This window comes from Homo sapiens, chromosome 10 (genome assembly GCF_000001405.40).
Source record: "Homo sapiens chromosome 10, GRCh38.p14 Primary Assembly".
NCBI classification, from domain to species: domain Eukaryota; kingdom Metazoa; phylum Chordata; class Mammalia; order Primates; family Hominidae; genus Homo; species Homo sapiens.
The window spans coordinates 112,967,121-112,987,092 of record NC_000010.11 but is presented as its reverse complement, the minus strand read 5'-3'; the positions used below and the strand labels follow the sequence as shown (position 1 = coordinate 112,987,092).

At 43.5% G+C, this 19,972-nt stretch overlaps 1 protein-coding gene across 15 annotated transcripts in view, besides 1 other annotated feature; it reads right to left on the bottom strand.

Moving 5' to 3' along the window:
* TCF7L2 (transcription factor 7 like 2) overlaps positions 1-19,972 on the bottom strand; it is a 217,432-nt gene that overhangs the window by 180,586 nt on the left and 16,874 nt on the right. The gene's annotated exons all lie outside the window — the stretch shown is intronic.
* Positions 5,297-5,346: a silencer, noted in NCBI's record as "silent region_2835". NCBI's record gives its function as "represses an Ori minimal core promoter by ATAC-STARR-seq in GM12878 lymphoblastoid cells {active_cell/tissue: GM12878}" and the evidence as "EXISTENCE:reporter gene assay evidence [ECO:0000049][PMID:35858748]".

Genomic DNA, 19,972 nt, shown 5'->3' with positions numbered 1-19,972 from the left:
AAGAAATGAACAACTCGGGTTGTCGTTTCCAGTGCCCACAAAAGCCTAGATCGACCATAGCAGCGAATGCTTCAGCTTAAGCCTTGCAAATGACATGAGTAATTCTTCACAGCAGACATTCTGGAAAGAATTCAATGCATGTCTTCACCCACCAATATCTGCAAGAAAAAGCCCAGGAGCAAAAACAGTGACATAAAACAGGCTGGACTTGTTCAGGTCCAGGTATTAAAATTATACTGAACTAGAAACTTCCAAAACAGGGATCCAGTATGCCCAGAGAAAAAGGAGACGGAGGTGAGTGCAGCTCCCACTTAAGTGGGGTTCTCAAACATGACACTTCCTCAAAATCTTCCCAGGGAGGTGTGGAGGCTGCAAGAAAGGGAGGTACACAGAAAATGCTCTAATACATCCTCTTAACCACAGCCTGAGCATTTTTCCACCAGAGAGAAACACCAAGTGCAACAACAGTGACTTATAAGTGTGCAGACCGATTATAGCTTTACTTTCAAAAGAGCTTTGATTGATCTTTTTTGATAGACCTGAAATAAATTAAACTAGATTGACTCACTTGAGAATGGACTCTAATCCCTTAGTCAGATCCCAGAGAACTCAAACCAAACCAGCTGTTAATTTAGGCTTTATAAGATAAAGCATGAGAAATCCAAGTTGATGTACCCCAGAGCAAAGCTTACATCATCTCTGTAAGCAATCAACTCACTGCTTCTTTTAGGAACTAATCAGTTCTTGGGTAAGTGGGTGCCAAGCCTGTACTCTCAGAGCGAAACAAGCTCAAAGAAAGGAGGAAAGGCAAGAGAGGAAGAGAGAGAACCCGAGAAACATCTACTGACTCACTCCCCCCATGCAAGCTCAAAACCAACCCAAGACATTTTCATGTTGCTTTCCCAAGTCATCTGTCTCCTGCTCCATAAACAGCCAATGACTTGACCAGAGCCTGAGTACCCACATAACCACCAAGAAAGAGGAAGTGGCTAAGGCTCTTAGTGTTTCTGTAAAGGTGGGAGCGGGGGTGCAGAATTACCCAGGAAAATATTCCCCACTACTTCTTTACTCCCTCGTCTTTGAAGATCACACTGTCCCCTTCATCTTTGCTTCTGGGTGACTTTGATTTGAATATAGAAACTCCAAAGCTTTCAAGTGAAGTAGCGGCTGCCCATGGCACTAATAGAGTTAACAAGAATGCACACACACACACACACACACACACACACACAAACTACAGGCTTCTTTCCAAGCTAAACTCTGCTCACTAACAGGCAGCCCTCCCAACTTCTACCAGCATTTTTTGGAAAGGGATTAATGCCTCCATCCCAAGTGAAGGGGGGGGCATTCACCTCTAGGGGACCCCACCCACAGCCTCGCCCCAGGAGGCTCCAATCGAGGACCCTTCCACCCAAAAAAAAGCAAGGCTGCCAGCCTCTTGCTCCTAAACAATGATGTTTCATATAACACTCTGTTTACCGAACATAAGGGGATCAAGAATTGAAATCCAATTTAAGGAATTATGGTGCCTTCAGACTGTTTTTCCTCAACAATGAAAAAAGACAGGCATGTTGTTTCTGGACTTAGGCCAGAAGAAACTGATCCTTGTAGTAATACAAGAAAAAAGAAAGAAAATCAATGTATGTGTTTATATATTATATGTCTTGGGGGAGGGGGTCACTAAAATAAGAGTGAAAATGGGTAGCAAATGAATTCCCATGGAAGGATCCTGAAGTCCATTTGAAAGCCCTATTTTGATATCCATCTGACAAGGAGAATAGGGTTCATCTCTTACAGCTTCTGAGAAGCAGAAGAAATTTAACCAGAAGAGATGGAAGTTTGAAAAGACAAGAAAACCAACCACAAAGTAGCCACTTGCCTTCCCTAGAAGTGAAAGGAACCAAAGTACCCCAGCAACAGCTAGAGCCTGCCAGGATCACAGGTATCATTTCCTTTCCAATAAAGTAATCACCGTTGCTCTTTCCTTAGCATGGGCCATTGTGTCAGCACTGTGGCGCTGTACATGTTATCCCATTTAATCCTCGGAGAGAGGTTTTATCCCCATTTTATAGATAAAACTAAGGCTCAGGGCGGTCCCACAGGCAATAAACGGACACTGCTGACTTGAGTCCCCAGCTACGTCTGACTTCAGTGCCAAAGCGTTTTATCCATCATCCCAGAACGCCTCCTTATCACAACAAAAATGCTTAACTTCAGATAAAACAACACTTTTATGGCTTCTAATTAATTGGTCTTACCACTGCATCCATCCTGTGGGGGCATTTCACAGATGAGCAAACCAAGACCCAGAGAACCAGCTATCTGCAGCCAGATAATTTAATAGCAGACCTAGGAGTGTTCAGAGCTCCTGGGCCCCTAACTTCAATTACTAAGCTTCATCCTCTCCCTTAATTAATTCTTCCCCACTGCCATACACAAAGACAAGGTTCTCCCCAGAGAAAAATGCCTCATCTCACAATGCACTGCCTGGGGAAATAGTTTTATTGTTGGTATTAATTTTTTTTTAGAGGGAGGGGACTTAAAAGGGGTGGGGGGCTATGCAATTAAGTAAATTAAGACATTTCTGATAGGTAGGGAATAAATCATCACTTAGAGGAACTAACCAATTAAAGAGGTAAGGCACTGCTCTTGCTAAAAAGCCATGCCATCAGCCAGAATGCCCGGGACAAATTAGAGTAAAGGAGGGGAGGAAAACAGGCCTTCCGCAGCCTAAGGCCACTGAACAGCTATAGAGTTCTGGCAAATGCCAAAAAAAAACAAAAACAAAAACATAGCTTTCTGATTCACAAAGCCTGCTGAAACACAAGTCTTCTGAAGGGGGCTGGGGAAGGGTGGGAAGGTATAACCTACTGTTTTACAGCTCCCCAAGTCAAAAGGAGGTAAGTACGGGGGGAAAGTCTATTGACCAACACTGCTTTCTGATTTCTCTTTTCATTTTGGCTTCTGAAAGCTTAAAGACAGATAGCAATAAATAGATCCCAAAGCACTGTGTTTTAATTCAGCCTGCTGCAAATGAGGGAGGTTTAAACTGTACCTTCTGGAATCAGAAGGTGTAAAGAAAACAACGGTTGTTTTCAAGTCGACTGGGAGAATCGAAGTTATGTCTTCACCACTCTTGAGAATAAATCATTCTGGACAAGCTCCCTACTGCACCACTGTCATCTAAGTTTATGTGTGAACAGGCCTGGGTTCGTGGCCACTAACTGATTGCTTCCTCAGGAGAGACACACAAGAAAGTTCCAACAAGCTGACCTATGCTGTGTGCACAGACTCACCTGCAGTGAAACACCAGTGCCTTCTCCCATACGACACAGGCACCCAGGGACCCTGGAACAGTTAGCTTCCAATCACAATTTCCAAAGGTCTCCTGTCCCTAGTAACCAACTAACACCACTTGTCTTTGAGGCAAATTGGAGGCTGTTACACGCTTATTACAAACTCAGACAAACAATAGCCTGACCACAGAGGCCCAAGGGAAACCCCACATAAAGAAAGAAAGGAGTGTTAATAGGTTCGCAAGGCAGGATGCAGACCTCTGCCATTTGAGAACTGAAAAGGATGACTTTTTAATTAATTAATTTATTTATTTATTTATTTGAGACAGAGTCTCGCTCTGTCGCCCAGGCTGGAGTGCAGTGGCGCGATCTCGGCTCACTGCAAGCTCCACCTCCCAGGTTTACTTACACCATTCCCCTGCCTCAGCCTCCGGAGTAGCTGGGACTACAGGCGCCCACCACCATGCCCTGCTAATTTTTTGTATTTTTAGTAGAGACGGGGTTTCACCGTGTTAGCCAGGATGGTTTCGATCTCCTGACCTCATGATCTGCCCGCCTCGGCCTCCCAAAGTGCTGGGATTACAGGCATGAGCCACCGTGCCCGGCCTAAATTTATTTTTTTAATGAAGTATTAAGCAACAGAAATCTGACAAAAAAAAAACAAAAAAACAAAAAACAAAAACAGAGCAGACGTTACAACCAAAAGGCCACAAATTCCTGCCTTGCTGTCACTAATTTCATGCCCATCAGAAGCTAAATAATAATTATAAGTCCCATCTCACCCCCAGGCTTTTTGGTTTCCCTCCATGGGGAGACAAATGATATCACAACATGGACTCTTTCACCCTAACTCTCTTCAAAGGGTATTCTGGGGCCAGGGGCAGTGGCTCACACCTGTAATCCCAGCACTTTGGGAGGCCAAGGTGGGCAGATCACTTGAGGTCAGGAGTTCAAGAGCAGCCAGGCCAACATGGCAAAACCCTGTCTCTACTAAAAATACAAAAATTAGCCGGGCGTGGTAGTGCGTGCCTGTAGTCCCAGCTACTCGGGAGGCTGAGGCAGGAGAATTGTTTGAATCCGGGAGGTGGATGGAGGCTGCAATGAGCCAAGATCGCACCACTGCACTCCAGTCTGGGCAACAGAGTGAGACTCCATCTCAAAGAAGAAAACAAAAATAAAGGGTATTCTGGACTACTCTTATTCAGGAGAAATAACTCAAGTCCAGATTCCGCTATGAGGTACTAAGCAAGCGGGGAAAAAAAGAGATATGCGCCACAATATATCACCACTTGTAAGCTTGGCAAGAGTTTTAATAACAACTGTGTTAGGGTGATCAGCTATCCCAGTTTGCCCAGAAACACCCCACTGGGAATAGTCATAAACCCAATAAACCTTTCTTATGTGCCAGGTACTGGACTAGGCCCCTGTGACAGAGCCTCACATGAATCCCCGTGATAGGCCAGTCTTCTCAGTAAACCTGCTTTTCACAGATGAGAAAATAGAGCCACATAGCAATTAAGTAACCTGCCCAATTAAAAAGTTTCAGCCTTATGTTATTTTTTAAAAAAAAAAGTGGTGGAAATTAAATACTGGGATAGAGAAAAGTTCATACTTCATGGAGAAATTTTGACCTGGAAACTAGTTAATGAGGAAAAATATTCCCTCCCAAAGGAGATGATAGAAAAGCAGGGAACCAGGAGAAATACATAGAATGGGAAGATCGATCACAAGTTCATCTAGATGTTTCCAAAATAGTCCACAGACGTATTACATAAGAAGCAAAGACAGAGGGATAAGAATCCCCAGGTGGGGAGCCTGTGAGTTAGCAGGACAGGAGCAATAATTCTGAAGCCACAGCAGTCTCAATATTCCTGGGGGCTGGCATGCTGGGGCTGCCTTGCCTGAGACTTCCACCGACCAGGAGTCCTGGTCACTTTGGTTCCCATGCAGCCAAATGTAAGAGCTGTGATGGCAAAAGGAAACCACAAACCATGACCAAAACAGAAGTCAGATCGAAAGATAAAAATCCACTCTCAGGGCGAAAGAAACGATAAGAGAACCACTGAGGCCGAAATCAAAACCATATCTGCTTTGCATGTGGCATGTGGTTTTCTCTGTGTACTTTTTACAAGTCACATCATTGGTTCCCGTCACATTTAAGTCATTGTCGGGCTCCTTTCACTGCTATGCAAACTTGGTGGCTGGAGATGATCTTGACCAAAAATTCCAAAGAGGGTGGTGGTAGGAAACACCAAACTCTCAATTTATGACTATTAAATAAACAGTTAAGGATGGCGGAGGTACCAACCCAATCAGCAAAAACTAACTTGATGCTTTTCCTAAACGATCCTAAAATGACAAAATCATGTCAGGAGTATTAGGATTTATTTTCTGATAGAGATAAACTGGCAAATTTAACCAAGCTGAAAAGTCACCCAAGCAAAACACAGCTTTTCCCCTTTTTTTCTTTCTTTATTTTTTTTTTTTTGAGGACGGGTCTCTTCCAAGGAAAGGGGCCCATCACATTATTGATGCCCTTTACTTGCTCAAATTCAAGCCCTGAGTGCCAATTCTTCAGAGAGAAACAGCTTCACAAATCGTATCTTCTGTGAGGAGACATTTCTCATCTGCTTTCACCATTATGAAAATGTAGCAACAGCAACAAGTGACAAGAAAACACAAAGCAAAGCAGGCTGCCTAAAACATACTGGTGGTTTGGTAAGAATGTTCTTAGCTTAGGGACACTTTCAAATCTTCCTTTAAGTTCTCTTTCAAGAAAAAAGTGTCTTTATACATTGCTTCAGTGATTTCTCTTTTTAATTAACAGGAAACTCTTGGCTTCTTCAGCAATTATTAAGAAACAAATGCTTTGGCCGGGAATGGTGGCTCACGCCTGTAATCCCAGCACTTTGGGAGGCTGAGGCGGGCGGATCACGAGGTCAAGAGATCGAGACCATCCTGGCTAATACTGTGAAACCCCGTCTCTACTAAAAATACAAAAAATTAGCCGGGCGTGGTGGTGGATGCCTGTAGTCCCAGCTACTGGGAGGCTGAGGTAGGAGAACGGCATGAACCCGGGAGGCGGAGCTTGCAGTGAGCCAAGATCGTGCCACTGCACTCCATCCAGGCTGGGCGACAGAGTGAGACTCCGTTTCAAAAAAAAAAAAAAGAAACAAATGCCGCTGGATTCCAGAATAAAAACTAGTGACTTAAGACCAGGAGGAGGGAAGCAGGGGAGGTTTGTTTTTGATTTTAAGGGTAAGAATCTAGTTCCGAACTTCGTGACTCCCGGAACACTCCTGAATTGAGTCTGATACATTTCATAAATCAATCAAGCCCTTATCTAGATAACTCACCATTTCATTTCTGTATCAAATTAAGTAGCCCTGGGTCTTTTGCTATATATTTATATCTTAGAAGCTAATCCAAAGGACAAAAATTCCTCTCTGCACATTACTGCAAGATTTCAGCTTTGCTATTACATCAGAAAGCAGTAAGCTCACCAGGACAAAAACCACAGAAGGCCCTGAAAAGACTTGCCCCCAACATACACTGGCCATTCTAACCCGCAAAGCGGAGGCTTTCTTTTCCTTAAGGGTCTGTTCTCCAGAAATTCCCTTATTCACTGCCTGCCCAGTTCACACTGTGTATACCCCACCCTCAGGAGTATAAACCTGACAAATGCTTTTGAGCCAAACCAGACAGAGTCCCCCATAAAACTCATGGAACACAACAGATGATTCTTTCAGCACAAATACCTTCAGATTTGGAAGCACATCCTGATATGTTTCTTCCAAGTTCATTTAATTAATAGTACTTACTTGTTCTTAAATGATTTGGAAGACTCCCATTGGGCAGGTCAAATCATGGGCTAAATGTGCTGGGGCTTTTTGGTGGAGATGCTAATTTAAATTTTCTCAAAGTATTTTACGTACATTCTACTGGTAACTAGATCAGAAAATTCAGATTCTCAGAATTCATAGTGTTGAAACATAACTGTGAGGTCTTCGTTTATTTTTTTTATTTTTTTTATTTTTTTTTGAGACAGGGTCTTGCTCCGTCACCTAGGCTGGAGTACAGTGGCGCCATCTCTGCTCACTGCAACCTCCGCCTCCCAGTTCAAGCAATTCTCCTGCCTCAGCTCCCCAGTAGCCGGAATTACAGGTGCATGCCACTACACCCACCTAATTTTTTGTATTTTTAGTAGAGACAGGATTTCACCAGGTTGGCCAGGCTGATCTCGAACTCCTGACCTCAAGTGATCCGCCCGCCTCGGCTTCCCAAAGTGCTGGAATTACAGGCATGAGCCACCGCACCCAGTCTATTGTCATTCTTTTACTGGTTCTTCAACTAAGCTGAAACTTGGAGAACGCCAGAAAGTGGTATAAAATCCTAACGAATTTGACTCTGGGATAAAAGATGTGCCCGGAATGGGCACTCAATGTGCACCATGACCTCATACAATGAACTGTCCCCAGTTACAGAAAACAAATTCTAGGGCTTTAACCTCCACTTACACCCAGCACTTCCAATCATTAGATTTATGGGTACTGAGGCAAGAGTGCACAACCATGAATGTCTTGGCGGTCCATTGCCAAGCTCCTTATGCACTCCAGTCTTTTAAGTTCTCCTTTCAACAGGCGAAGTCTCCAAGGCCAGTCCACTCCATGAAAGATGAAAACCCCCCAAATCAAAAGAGAAAAAAAACAATACCAACTCACTAGGGGGCTTTAGCACCTCCTCCCCACATAAAAGAGGGTTGGAGTCTTCTAAGAACATCCTTGGCAAAACCAACAATGTAGGAGTAGGGATAAAAAGTGGAATCATAGCATTAGGAGATATACCTAATGTAAATGACAAGTTAATGGGTGCAGCACACCAACATGGCACATGTATACATATGTAACAAACCTGCACGTTGTGCACATGTACCCTAGAACTTAAAGTATAATAAAAATATATATGTATATTTTAAAAGAAGTGGAATCATATATTATTATATAAAAATCACAAAATCTGGCCGGGCGCGGTGGCTCACACCTATAATCCCAGCACTTTGGGAGGCCAAGACAGGTGGATCACAAGGTCAGGAGATCGAGACCATCCTGGCTAACACAGTGAAACCTCATCTCTACTAAAAATACAAAAAAAAAAAAAAAAAAATTAGCCAGGCGTGGTGGCAGGTGCCTGTAGTCCCAGCTACTCGGGAGGGCTGAGGCAGGAGAATCGCATGAACCCAGGAGGCAGAGCTTGCACTGAGCCGAGATCGCACCACTGTACTCTAGCCTGGGTGACAGAGCAAGACTCCGTCTCAAAAAAAAAAAAAATCACAAAATTCCTGGGAATGAAAGCCAAAAAAGACTACTATGAGAAATTAGGATATGAGGTCCTTATACATCCTAATGAGTTTGAGGTACAGAAAACACCAATATCTAGCTCTGAAAACTGCCTCTCAAGTTCAATGCTTTCATTCACCTAATCAGTATACATTCAGCACCCACTATGTGCAAAGCTGGGTCACCACTTAGTAGCTATTAAAAAATAGAGAGGGAGATTTTTAAATAGACAAGACCTTCTAGACTCCATTTCAAATATGCATAAGACATATATTTCAAAATAATAATCCCTCTTAACTGTTTTCCAATAGAGAATCAAATGCCCCAAGATATCAATTTAAATTTAGCTGTCCTTTTTCTTTCTCTCTTTCAAATCATCATTAAGCTTTCTGGCAAGAGCTTTTTCTAGGCCTCCTGTTACAAGGCTTAGCAGAGCCCATACGGGTTTCAGGGTTTAGAAATAGAGAAAGGGAACCTCAAATTTCCTTTATGTTTTGGGCTGTCAATAGCATTTAGGAAAAACAACTCCTCTCCTTTCTGCTTCGTATGTTTTCCTTATTGGTTTATTTACACAGCGCTGCTCCCCGACAGCAGGCAGTACATCGTTTGGTCATTGCTGCCTTTCCCCGCCATTAGTGCAGGCTGCTGAGACGACACCCCAGCTGCCTCCCCCGAGTGGCCTGCGGCATCGGCACATCCCTTTCCCCCAAGTGGTCCCCTCTTTGACTAATGTTCACCAACACTCATACATCATTCCCAAATTGGTCCAAATGAATTAAACACAGCTCTGCTTAACATTATGAGATTTAAATGGATTTTCTCTCTACAGGTCTGCCCCATAATTGGGTTTATCCATCTTGTTGAAGTACAGTTTACACTTGCTAACATCACGCCAGTTCAAGCTACATTTTCTGCTCCAGTGGCAGGAGCAAGGCAGATTTGTCATCGGATCATAACAGGTAATTCAAACAACAATTAGTTTGATGACGGCCCGTATGTCAATGTCTGCTCCCAGCAGCCTGGCTCACACCCTATGCTCTCTGTTCCTCAAGATGAATTGTCTTCACAATTCTTCAATTTCAATCATCAACAATGCTTACTGAATCAACTTAAAAACTGTTGACACAAGACTTCTTCCCTACAGGGCAGCCTCACCAAAGCCCTAGTGAGAAGAATCTTCCAGTACCCCTAGAATGGGCTACTATCACACACATCCATTTTCAAGCCTTGGAAGATTTCTGGTTTGCAACCAAAGCTATTTATTCTGGTGCTTCATCTCAACCTCAAAAATCTGGGAGGCACGAGGTTTGGAAAGAGAAAAGAATGAATCTGTCTGTGCAGGCTCATCCATCCACAATTAGGAAAACATCTTGTTTAAAATTTGTTTTGAAGTCCCCTGCAGGAATGAATGACAATTGTCAAAGTGTATGAAAATATTATGATCTGACAGGTAATGCTGCCTGACATTTAAAAAAAAAAAAAAAAGGTAATATTGCTTTTAAAAGCCAACTAACCTCTAAGCATTCTGAAAATCAGAAGATGGTCATAGAAATAGACACCAGTCCAACCATAGTTACCACTGTTTGGATGATGCCATAGTCTCTAAGACAGCAGTGCAAATTCACGCACTGATGGAGAGCTGGAATCAAAATCTAAGATACGTGGAAAAGAACACCAAGTTGACAAAGTGGTCGAACACTCATCTCAAACTACCTGGCTGAGCACAAAAACAAATTATTTTTGGTCTTTCATATTATAAAAGGGGCTGTTATTTAAAAATTCTAAAAGCACACTTTGTTACCTCTAATATACACCTACCCCAATCTCACTTATATACTGTTTCCTTTCTGCCCACAATTAGATATTCAAACACATTCACACCCCTAGTTGTACACCTACGATGTCCCAGGAAATTAGTGCATGGTGCTACAGGGATATAAATATGAGTAAAACACAATCTCTGAGTAAGACACAATCTTAGCCCTTCAGAAGTGCTTATATTCTAGTCAAATGTAACAAGGACCCAGCAAAAAATTTTCAGTGACATAAGAGAAATGCAAACAGCAACCAACAGGAATAGGAGTCATAAATCTTTGTTACACAGCAAAGATAGTCCAAGTTATCAAATTTATCATGTGTGATGCTCTTGACAGGAAATAAAAAATACACAATGCATGTTGGGATAAAGCATATTCTAAATGTGCAAACAAGTACTTCATAATCCTCAATGGTAAAAATAGCAGCTTACATTTATCAAGCACGCTTCCCTGTATCATCGTACTGCCCAGATCATTATATATCTTACCTTGTTTAATCTCCCAACTCTAGAAACAGGTACTGCCATTATCCCCATTTTACAGATTTAGGAAACTGAAGCTTAGCAGAGCCGACACTCAAACCCAGATAGATATACCTGACTCCAGAAGCAGGAACTGAACTATTCACCTCCACTCGTACCTGTTTCTTTAAAATGCAAAGGTAATATAGTATAATATCAATGGTAGGATGCATGCTTTAAACTATTAGACTGAGTCAGAGGTTCTCAACCAAGGGATGATTTTGATCCCCAGGGGACATGCAGCAATGTCTAGAGATATTTTCAGTTGTCACATTTTTGTTGGGTGCCAGTGGCATCAAGAGGGAAGAGGTCAATGAATGGTGCTAAATAAACACCCTACAGGCCGACCATGGCGGCTCACGCCTGTAATCCCAGCACTTTGGGAGGCCGAGACGGGCGGATCACTTGAGGTCAGGAGTTTGAGAACAGCCTGGCCAACATGGTGAAACCTCATCTCTACTGAAAATACAAAAATTAGCCAAGCATGGTGGTGCACGCCTATAATCCCAGCTACTGGGGAGGTTGAGGTATGAGAATCCCTTGAACCCAGGAGGCAGAAGTTGCAGTGATCCAAGATCGCAACACTGCACTCCAGCCTAAGCAATAGAGTGAGACTCTTGTCTCAAATAAAAATAAAAATAAATAAAATTTAAAAATAAACACCCTACAATGCACGGGATGGTCCCCTGCAACGAAGAATTCTCCAGCCCAAAATGTCAACAGTGCTGAGGCTGAGAAGTCCTGCATTAAGTCATCCTATCTCATCCAGCCCCTACTACTAACCAAAGACACAGACATGCCAGTTTCCAGACCGAGCCTCAATCTGGGTGGAATGTGGTATAACCAAGTATTTTCCTAGCTGCACCCCTTAAAACACTAGGATTTTGTGAAGATGCTTCAAAGACTCCACATATGTTTGATGTGAATGTTTCTTTTTATAACATATAAATATAGAGATAATATAGTACACGTACCTACTTTTAAACTTTATTTTTACATTTCAATGTAGTATTCATTAACTATTAAACACACTACCATCCAACCAGTGGTTTTGGTGGAACCCCCGGGAACAGGTAATGCCATTTCTGTTTAACTGAAGTGGATGCTAAGATTTCAAGGCAAACCAGTAAAAAAAAAAGAAAAAGAAAAAAAAAGAAGCAACCACTTATCTGTTTGATCAGGATTTGATACCATGCAACCAAATCAAACTCAAGAAACAAATTAACTACTAAGCCTGATAAGCCTGTAAATGTTGGTCACAACCCATTTAGAAATTTCTGTGCTCAGCTAAACAATCCCATGATTTTCAGGGACTTTATAAAATAATATTATAAAGTAGAATTTACAAAATGAAGTTATGCTAAGAAAATACCAGCAGACAGCCGGGCGCGGTGGTTCATGCCTGTAATCCCAGCACTTTGGGAGGCCGAGGTGGGTGGATCATGAGGTCAGGAGTTCAAGACCAGCCTGGTCAAGATGGTGAAACCCCGTCTCTACTAAAAATACAAAAAAATTAGCCAGGCATGGTGGCAGGCACCTGTAATCCCAGCCACTCGGGAGGCTGAGGCAGAGAATTGCTTGAACTCAGGAGGCAGAAGTGGCAGTGAGCCGAGATCGCGCCACTGCACTCCAGCCTGGGCAACAGAGCGAGACTCATCTCAAAAACAAAAACAAAAAAAAAGAAAATACCAGCAGCTGACTGCCATAGGTCAGACCTCGAGGCCCACCTGCCGTGGCCCATAAGAGGCACACGTATGGCTGATACGACAGTTGTTTTTTTCTTTCTGGTAGTTCCAGTTAAAGACTACCAGACATTGTCTTGGTATCCTCACCAGCCCTCTTCCGAACTAAGTGCCCTAATATGGTGGAGAATGAACAGATACAAATATCTCAACTCGTACAAATACAATGATATAATTAAAACAGATATAAGTTTTAAAATGATATAAGTAAAAACGGTAAAACTAGATTGTTTTATTTTATCTGGCCAATGTAATCCAATTGCTATTGGCTTAGACAAGATGATAACCTCTCCTGGAAAGATAGAAAGAAAGCCGTGTTGAAAGATAGCTGCACTGGACTCCTGGATTCTTGTCTTGTCCCGTGTCCACCAAGTGGTAAGAACTGGGACCAACCCATTCACCTCCATGCACCTGTTTCCTTGCCTATTAAAATGGACTGTATCAGCCTGGGCAACAAGGTGAGACCCGTCTCTACAAAACAATTAAAAATTGGCAGGGTGCAGTGGCCCCCACCTATAATCCCAGTACTTTGGGAGGCCAAGGCGGGCAGATTACTTGAGGTGAGGGTTCAAGACCAGCCTGGCCAACATGGTGAAACGCCGTATCTACCAAAAATACAAAAATTAGCCAGGGCGTGGTGGCAAGAACCTGTAATCTCAGATACTTGGGAGGCTGAGGCAGGCGAACAGCTTGAACCCAGGAGGCAGAGGTTGCAGTGAGCCGAGATGGCACCACTGTACTCCAGCCTGGGTAACAGAGTGAGACTCCATCTCAAAAATAAATAAATAAAATTAAAATTAAACAATAAAAAAGGCTTACAATAGTTGTTCTCTAGTGTGACTGTGTGCATTAGAATCATCCAGTGTGGGGAAGTGGTAGCAGATTCCAGGATCCCCTAGACCAGATGCCTCAACCTGGCCTGCTCACTAAAAGCTGGGAAGCTTTTGCAACCCAGGGATGCACAGGCCACAACCCCCAGAGATGCTGACTCGGTTGGTCTAGGGCAGGGCCTGGGCTGAATATTGTTTGAAATGCTTCCTGAGTGAGTATAACCTAACAGTCCAAGCTGGGAACCCTTGCCCTAGTCCGGTGGTTCTCCAAGAGCTATCCCCAGAGAAGGAACACAGCATTAATTAAAAGCTTGCAAATGTCAGGACCCGTTCCAAGCTTACAGAACCTGACACCCTGGGGGTGGATTCCCAGTCTGCTCTCCGGGTGCCCTCCAGGTGATACTTGAGCTTGTGAAACACTGACCTAATCCCTAAATGAGAATCTCCAAGGAGTAGAACCCAGGATTCTGTACTTTTTACCAGGTCCCACGTGATTTCTATGTGTGTTGCCCAGAAGGCTGGTTGGTAGCCACTGCTGTAAGGGAACCCCTAGACCACTGTGAGCATTACTTTGAGCAGGCAATAGTTACCATAAGCCTATGTAGGACAATCTCTCTCTAGTCACACTGTCTGGGTTTGAATCCTAATTGGCCTTGGGCAAAATATCTCAGGTATCTGTTTCCTCATTTACAAAATGAGGATAATGGTGATAATACCAGTAACTACACCTTTCAAATTTCCCTCTGTGTTGTTATGAAGAATCAATAAAGAATTCACATATGCTGGGCGCGGTGGATCACGCCTGTAATCCCAGCACTTTGGGAGGCTAAGGCAGGCGGAGAGCTTGAGCTCAGGAGTTAGAGACCAGCCTGGGCAACATGGCGAAGCCCCATCTCCACTAAAAATGCAAAAATTAGCCAGGTGTGGTGATGCATACCTGTAGTCCCAGCTACTCAAGAGGCTGAGGTGGGAGAATCACCTTAGTCCAGGGAGGTCGAGGCTGCAGTGAGCTATGATCACACCACTGTGCTCCAGCCTGGGTGACAGAGTGAGACCCTGTCTCAAAATAGTAATAATAATTCACAAAAAGCATTTAACACTGGATCCCTCAAGAGAATTCAATAAGCATAAGCAGCTATTATTACTAACTACTGTTATTGCCTCTGACCCCAAAGTCTAAGCACCTTATTGTCCAAGCTACTCTTCCATAAACAAATGCTTTTTCTCAAGCTTTGCAAAAGTATCTGGCTGTCTTCACATAAGAATGGGAAAATAAAGGCCTCAAAAACTCACTGGAACATAAGGGCAGTCCAATTTCTCATTCAAAATAAGAAAATATTATCCCAATGTAGTACTTAGCCAGCCCTCACTTTTTATTTGGCTAGTGAAAATGACTGGGACAGCCAATAAATGATCAATTGATTGGTTTCAGAAGACTCTAAGGCAGCAATTCTCAAACTTCAATAGGTTGAAAATCACAACCCTGATTAAAAATGACGGCCAGCGGGAGGCTAAAGCAGGAGAATCCCTTGAACTCAGGAGGCAGAGGTTGCAGTGAGCCGAGATCGCACCACTGCACACCAGCCTGGGAAATAGAGCGAGACTCCGCTTCAAAAAAAAAGGAAAGAAAAAAATGACGGCCAGGCCCAGTGGCTCACACCTGTAATCCCAGCACTTTGGGAGGCCAAAGCAGATGGATCACCTGAGGTCAGAAGTTTGAGACTAGCCTGGCCAACATGGTGAGACCTCGTCTCTACTAAAAATACAAAACTTAGCTGGGTGTGGTGGCACACACCTGTAGTCCCAGCTACTCAGGAGGCTGAGGCGGGAGAATTGCTTGAACCCGGGAAGCGGAGGTTGCAGTGAGCCGACATCACGCCACTGCATTCCAGACTGGGTGACAGAGCAAGATTCCATCTCAAAAAAAAAAAAGTAACTCCTGTCCGGGCGTGGTGGCTCACACCTGTAATCCCAGCACTTTGGGAGGCCAAGGCAGGAGGATCATCTGAGGTCAGGAGTTCAAGACCAGCCTGGCCAACATGGTGAAACCCCCGTCTTTACTAAAAATACAAAAATTAGCCAGGTGTGGTGGTGCACACCTGTAATCCCAGCTACTCAAAAGGCTGAGGCACGGGAATCGCTTGAAACCTGGGAGGCGGAGGAAAAACCTCCAGCCTGGACAACAGAGCAAGGCAGAGGAAAAACTCCAGCCTGGACAACAGAGTAAGGCTCTGTCTCAAAAAAAATAAAAGAAAAGGAAAATCTAACTCCTGGACTACACTGGAAACCTAACTCAGTTTGGGAACGGGGTGTTTATAAGTCAGTATCACTAGAATTTAAATATTAAAAATTAATATTAAAATATCACTAGAATTTAAGCTTGGTGAGAGCAAGGGATTTTTGTCTGTTTTGCTCACTGATGAATTCTCCAGTGGCCTGGCACACATTAGATGCAAATATTTTTCATGAATGAACATTCTTCTGAGGTATGGACTTAAATTAGCTAATTAGGTTAAAACTCATCACCATAGCAAGTCAATGAACCTCTTGAGCAAGTTACCTGCCATCCACAGGTTCTATCAAACTACTCTAGTGAAATGATCTCTCTCTAATTCTTCATTCCTTTGTGGAAAATGGACATGAAATGTCACAGCCTAAGTCTGCTACAGCTCTAAAGGAAACGTGAGGAAGTGACTGCACCAAGGGCTGAACCTGTTTCCAGGAGTTCTTCACTTAGCCTGGATCTGCTGCTCAGCCAAGAGAGCAAATCCTCATGAAAACAAGAAGGCCAGGGAACTTGTGATGGGTGAGAGGAAAGGCCCAGAACACAAGAGACCCTCATCAAAAACCTGAAGTGGGAGAAAGTCAAGCGCCCTGCAAACACTGCCACCTCATTCTTCAATGCTGGGCCAGTCCGCTGGTACTAATTTCTGGCCATGCTCATCACAGTATGAAGGGTCTGCTCAGACACAGACATAGACTCTGTGTCAACGCACCCCAGGAATCTTAACAATGTTAAGACACGGACAAGACTGAACATCCAGTTCACATCCAGGAATAAGTGGCCAACATGGGGTAAGGACACTCTCCAGTTAGTATTCTTCTCTCCTTGGCTCCAAAAAGCACCCAGGCCCTGGAGGAGGGTCCTGGTGGCCTTACTGATTCATGGTGGAGGAGTTCTAAGACCAAGCAGAAGGTTAGGCTTTGGTAAAGCTCAGATGGGAACTTGCAAGCATAAGAACAAGAGGGAAAGTAACCCCCACTGCACAGTATCCACTCCTCAGCTGTGTAAACAAATAAAATGGTCCATTTCTTCTGGATCCTCTCCTAGTTGTCTTTGTGTGGACGCACAAGCGCGCACATGCACACACACACACACACACAAACCACTTCAAATCTAAAAAGAATAACAACCAAGAAAGGTTTACACAGTTTGTTTTTGCTGCATGTGGAGGTTTTTCCTAAATCACATCTGACTTGGTGTTAAAACATTAACCTTTGGCCAAAACGCTCTTAAAACAAAGGCTTAATTGGCTCAGAAGTAGCCCTTCCAAAAACCAAGGGAAACATCTTCTGTGGGTCTCGACCTTCATCACAACAGTGCTCATAGGTTTGGAATAATGCTGAGAGTAGGAGTGTTGGAAGGGCTTTCTTCATGAAGGCAATAGAGATGCCTAAACATTATCTACAATCACCTGCAGGGCATTCCTGGGAGACAGCTCTGTTTACACACATCTGCAATGTGGGTCCACCTCTGGAATTCAGCCTGCTAGTCCTCCTCCCAGGTTAATGGAGACAGTGGGAGGAGTTCCTAGGAGCTGGGGCCAAAGGCCAAATCACTGCATGAAGGGGCCTGCACCGGAGCTTGGGCAATTGGCCTCTGATCACACCTAGATAAATTTACTGCTCACCCTACACGTATCACTCACATACCTAACAACTACTGGCCCTGTTGCAATGACAATACTCAAATCCAGCACTCAAGTCTCTCTCAGAAGGTCAGTGCAAGACTAAACACACATTTACCCCATGCCCCTCCAAGTCTACTCTTGGTGTATAAACAGAAATGGAAATATATGTTTCCCCAAAAGATGTGTGGGAGAATGTTACTAGAACTTTATTCATAATCGCAAAAAAACTGGAAGCACTCCAAATATCCAACAACGTAGGAAGGATGCATGCACTGAAGCATATTCATCAGTGGAATACTACTTGGCCATGAAAAAGAGCAAACCATTGCTACCCAAAATAACATGGATGAAACTCACAGACATATGCTGAGTGTGGCCAGACATGAAACAGTACATTCTATAAGATTCCATTTACATGAAGTCAAAAAACAGGTAAAACTAATCCACAGTGATAAATAAAACTAACAGACTTTTCAGTGGGGGCAGGGGAGAGAGGAAGAAGCCAAATAACTGGAAAAAGGGGGAAACAAGGTAGACTTCTGGGGAGCTCTTTATCAGAAGTTAGCCTCTGGGACCAAATACAGCCACTGCCTGTTTTTTTCTAAATAAAGTTTTACTGAGACACAACAAGGAATATATATATATTCCTTTGGGTTTATCATTGACTGCTTTCAAACCACAATAGAAGCGCTGAGTACAGTTGACCCCTGAACCCCCAGGCCAGGGACACCGAACCCCCACACAGCTGAAAAGCCGAGTATAGGTCAGGCCCAGTGGCTCACACCTATAATCCCAGCACTTTGGGAGGCCAAATGGCCGGATCACGAGGTCAGGAGATTGAGACCATCCTGGCTAACACAGTGAAACCCCATCTCTACTAAAAATACAAAAAAATGAGCCGAACGTGGTGGCAGGTACCCGTAGTCCCAGCTACTAGCGAGGCTGAGGTAGGAGAATTGCTTGATCCTGGGAGGCGGAGGTTGCAGTGAGCCGAGATCACGCCACTGCACTCCAGCCTGGGCGACAGAATGAGAATCCGTTTCAAAAAAAATGAAAAAGAAAACCCGAGTATACCTTTTGACTCCCCAAAAACTTAACTAATAGCCTACTGTTGACTGAAAGCCTGACCGATAACATAAACAGTCAATTAATATATAATTTATGTATATATTATATGCTGTATTCTTACAATAGTGTAAGCTAAAGAAAATGTTATTAGGAAAATCATAAAGAAAACATATTTACTATTCATTAAGTGGAAGTGGATCATCATAAAGGTCTTCATCCTTGCCGTCTTTGGGATGAGTTGGCTGAGGAGGAAGAGGAGGAAGAGAAGGAAGAGAAGGGGTTGGTCTTGCTGTCTCAGAGGCAGAAGAAAATCCATGTCTAAGTGGATCCATGTGGTTCAAACTCATGTTGTGCCATTCAAGGATCAAATGTAGTTGCAACAGAGACTGAGCGGCTCAAAAAGCCCAAAACATTTAGTGTCTGGCCCTTGACAGTAAAGGTGTCCCAACCTCATTCTATATATATTGATCTGAGTAATGGTTTCATGGACGTTCACATATGGAAAACTTCATCCACCTCTCTACTCTCTACTAAAGTTCTGTGTACTATGTTACATGTATATTATACTTCAATAAAACATTTTAAAAGTCAATAGAATTTTAAAACAATGTCTTTTCTAAAAGATCTTTTAATTTTTGGCCAGGAGCGGTGGCTCACGCCTGTAATCCCAGCACTTTGGGAGGCCGAGGCAGGAGGATCACCTGAGGTCGGGAGTTCGAGACCAGCCTGACCAACATGGAGAAACCCCATCTCCACTAAAAATACAAAAATAGCCGGGCGTGGTGGCACATGCCTGTAATCCCAGCTACTCGGGAGGCTGAGGCAGGAGAATCACTTGAACCTGGGAGGCGGAGGTTGCGGTGAGCCGAGATCGCGCCATTGCACTCCAGCCTGGGCAACAAAGAGCGAAACTCCGTCTCAAAAAAAAAAAAAAAACTTTTAATTTTCTTTCTAGTTTCATTTGTGTTATCCATTTTGGGAGAACGTGGCCATCTGAGTTGCTCTTGTCTTTTCAAAACCAAGGGGAGCTAGGAGGCTGTCAAAAGTAGGAAAGATCTAAACATAGCAACTGCTATTGTGTCCAAACCTTTTATAAGAAAGTGACGTGTCTATAGAATCACCCAAGGCCATTCATATAAACAGTGAGCTTGGCTGAGTCCTGAGATTACAGGAGGGATGGGAAGGGAAAAGAGTATGAGTCGTATGAGTCTAATGTGATGCACAGGGTCATAGTACTCTGGGTTATTTTAGGATGTAGCTTAGGAGAGCAACAAGCTCAGCTTCTATTGAAATCTAGTATTTATTAAGGTTGAACAGTTTTAAGTTTCCAGGGACAATAATTCTGCCCCGACAATCACGCTGCATTTAGTCTTAAGTTGGAGAATGGAGCGAAAGGAACATATCTGCTCTATGCCACATCCAGAGCGAAAAGATTATGAGCTCCCCAATGT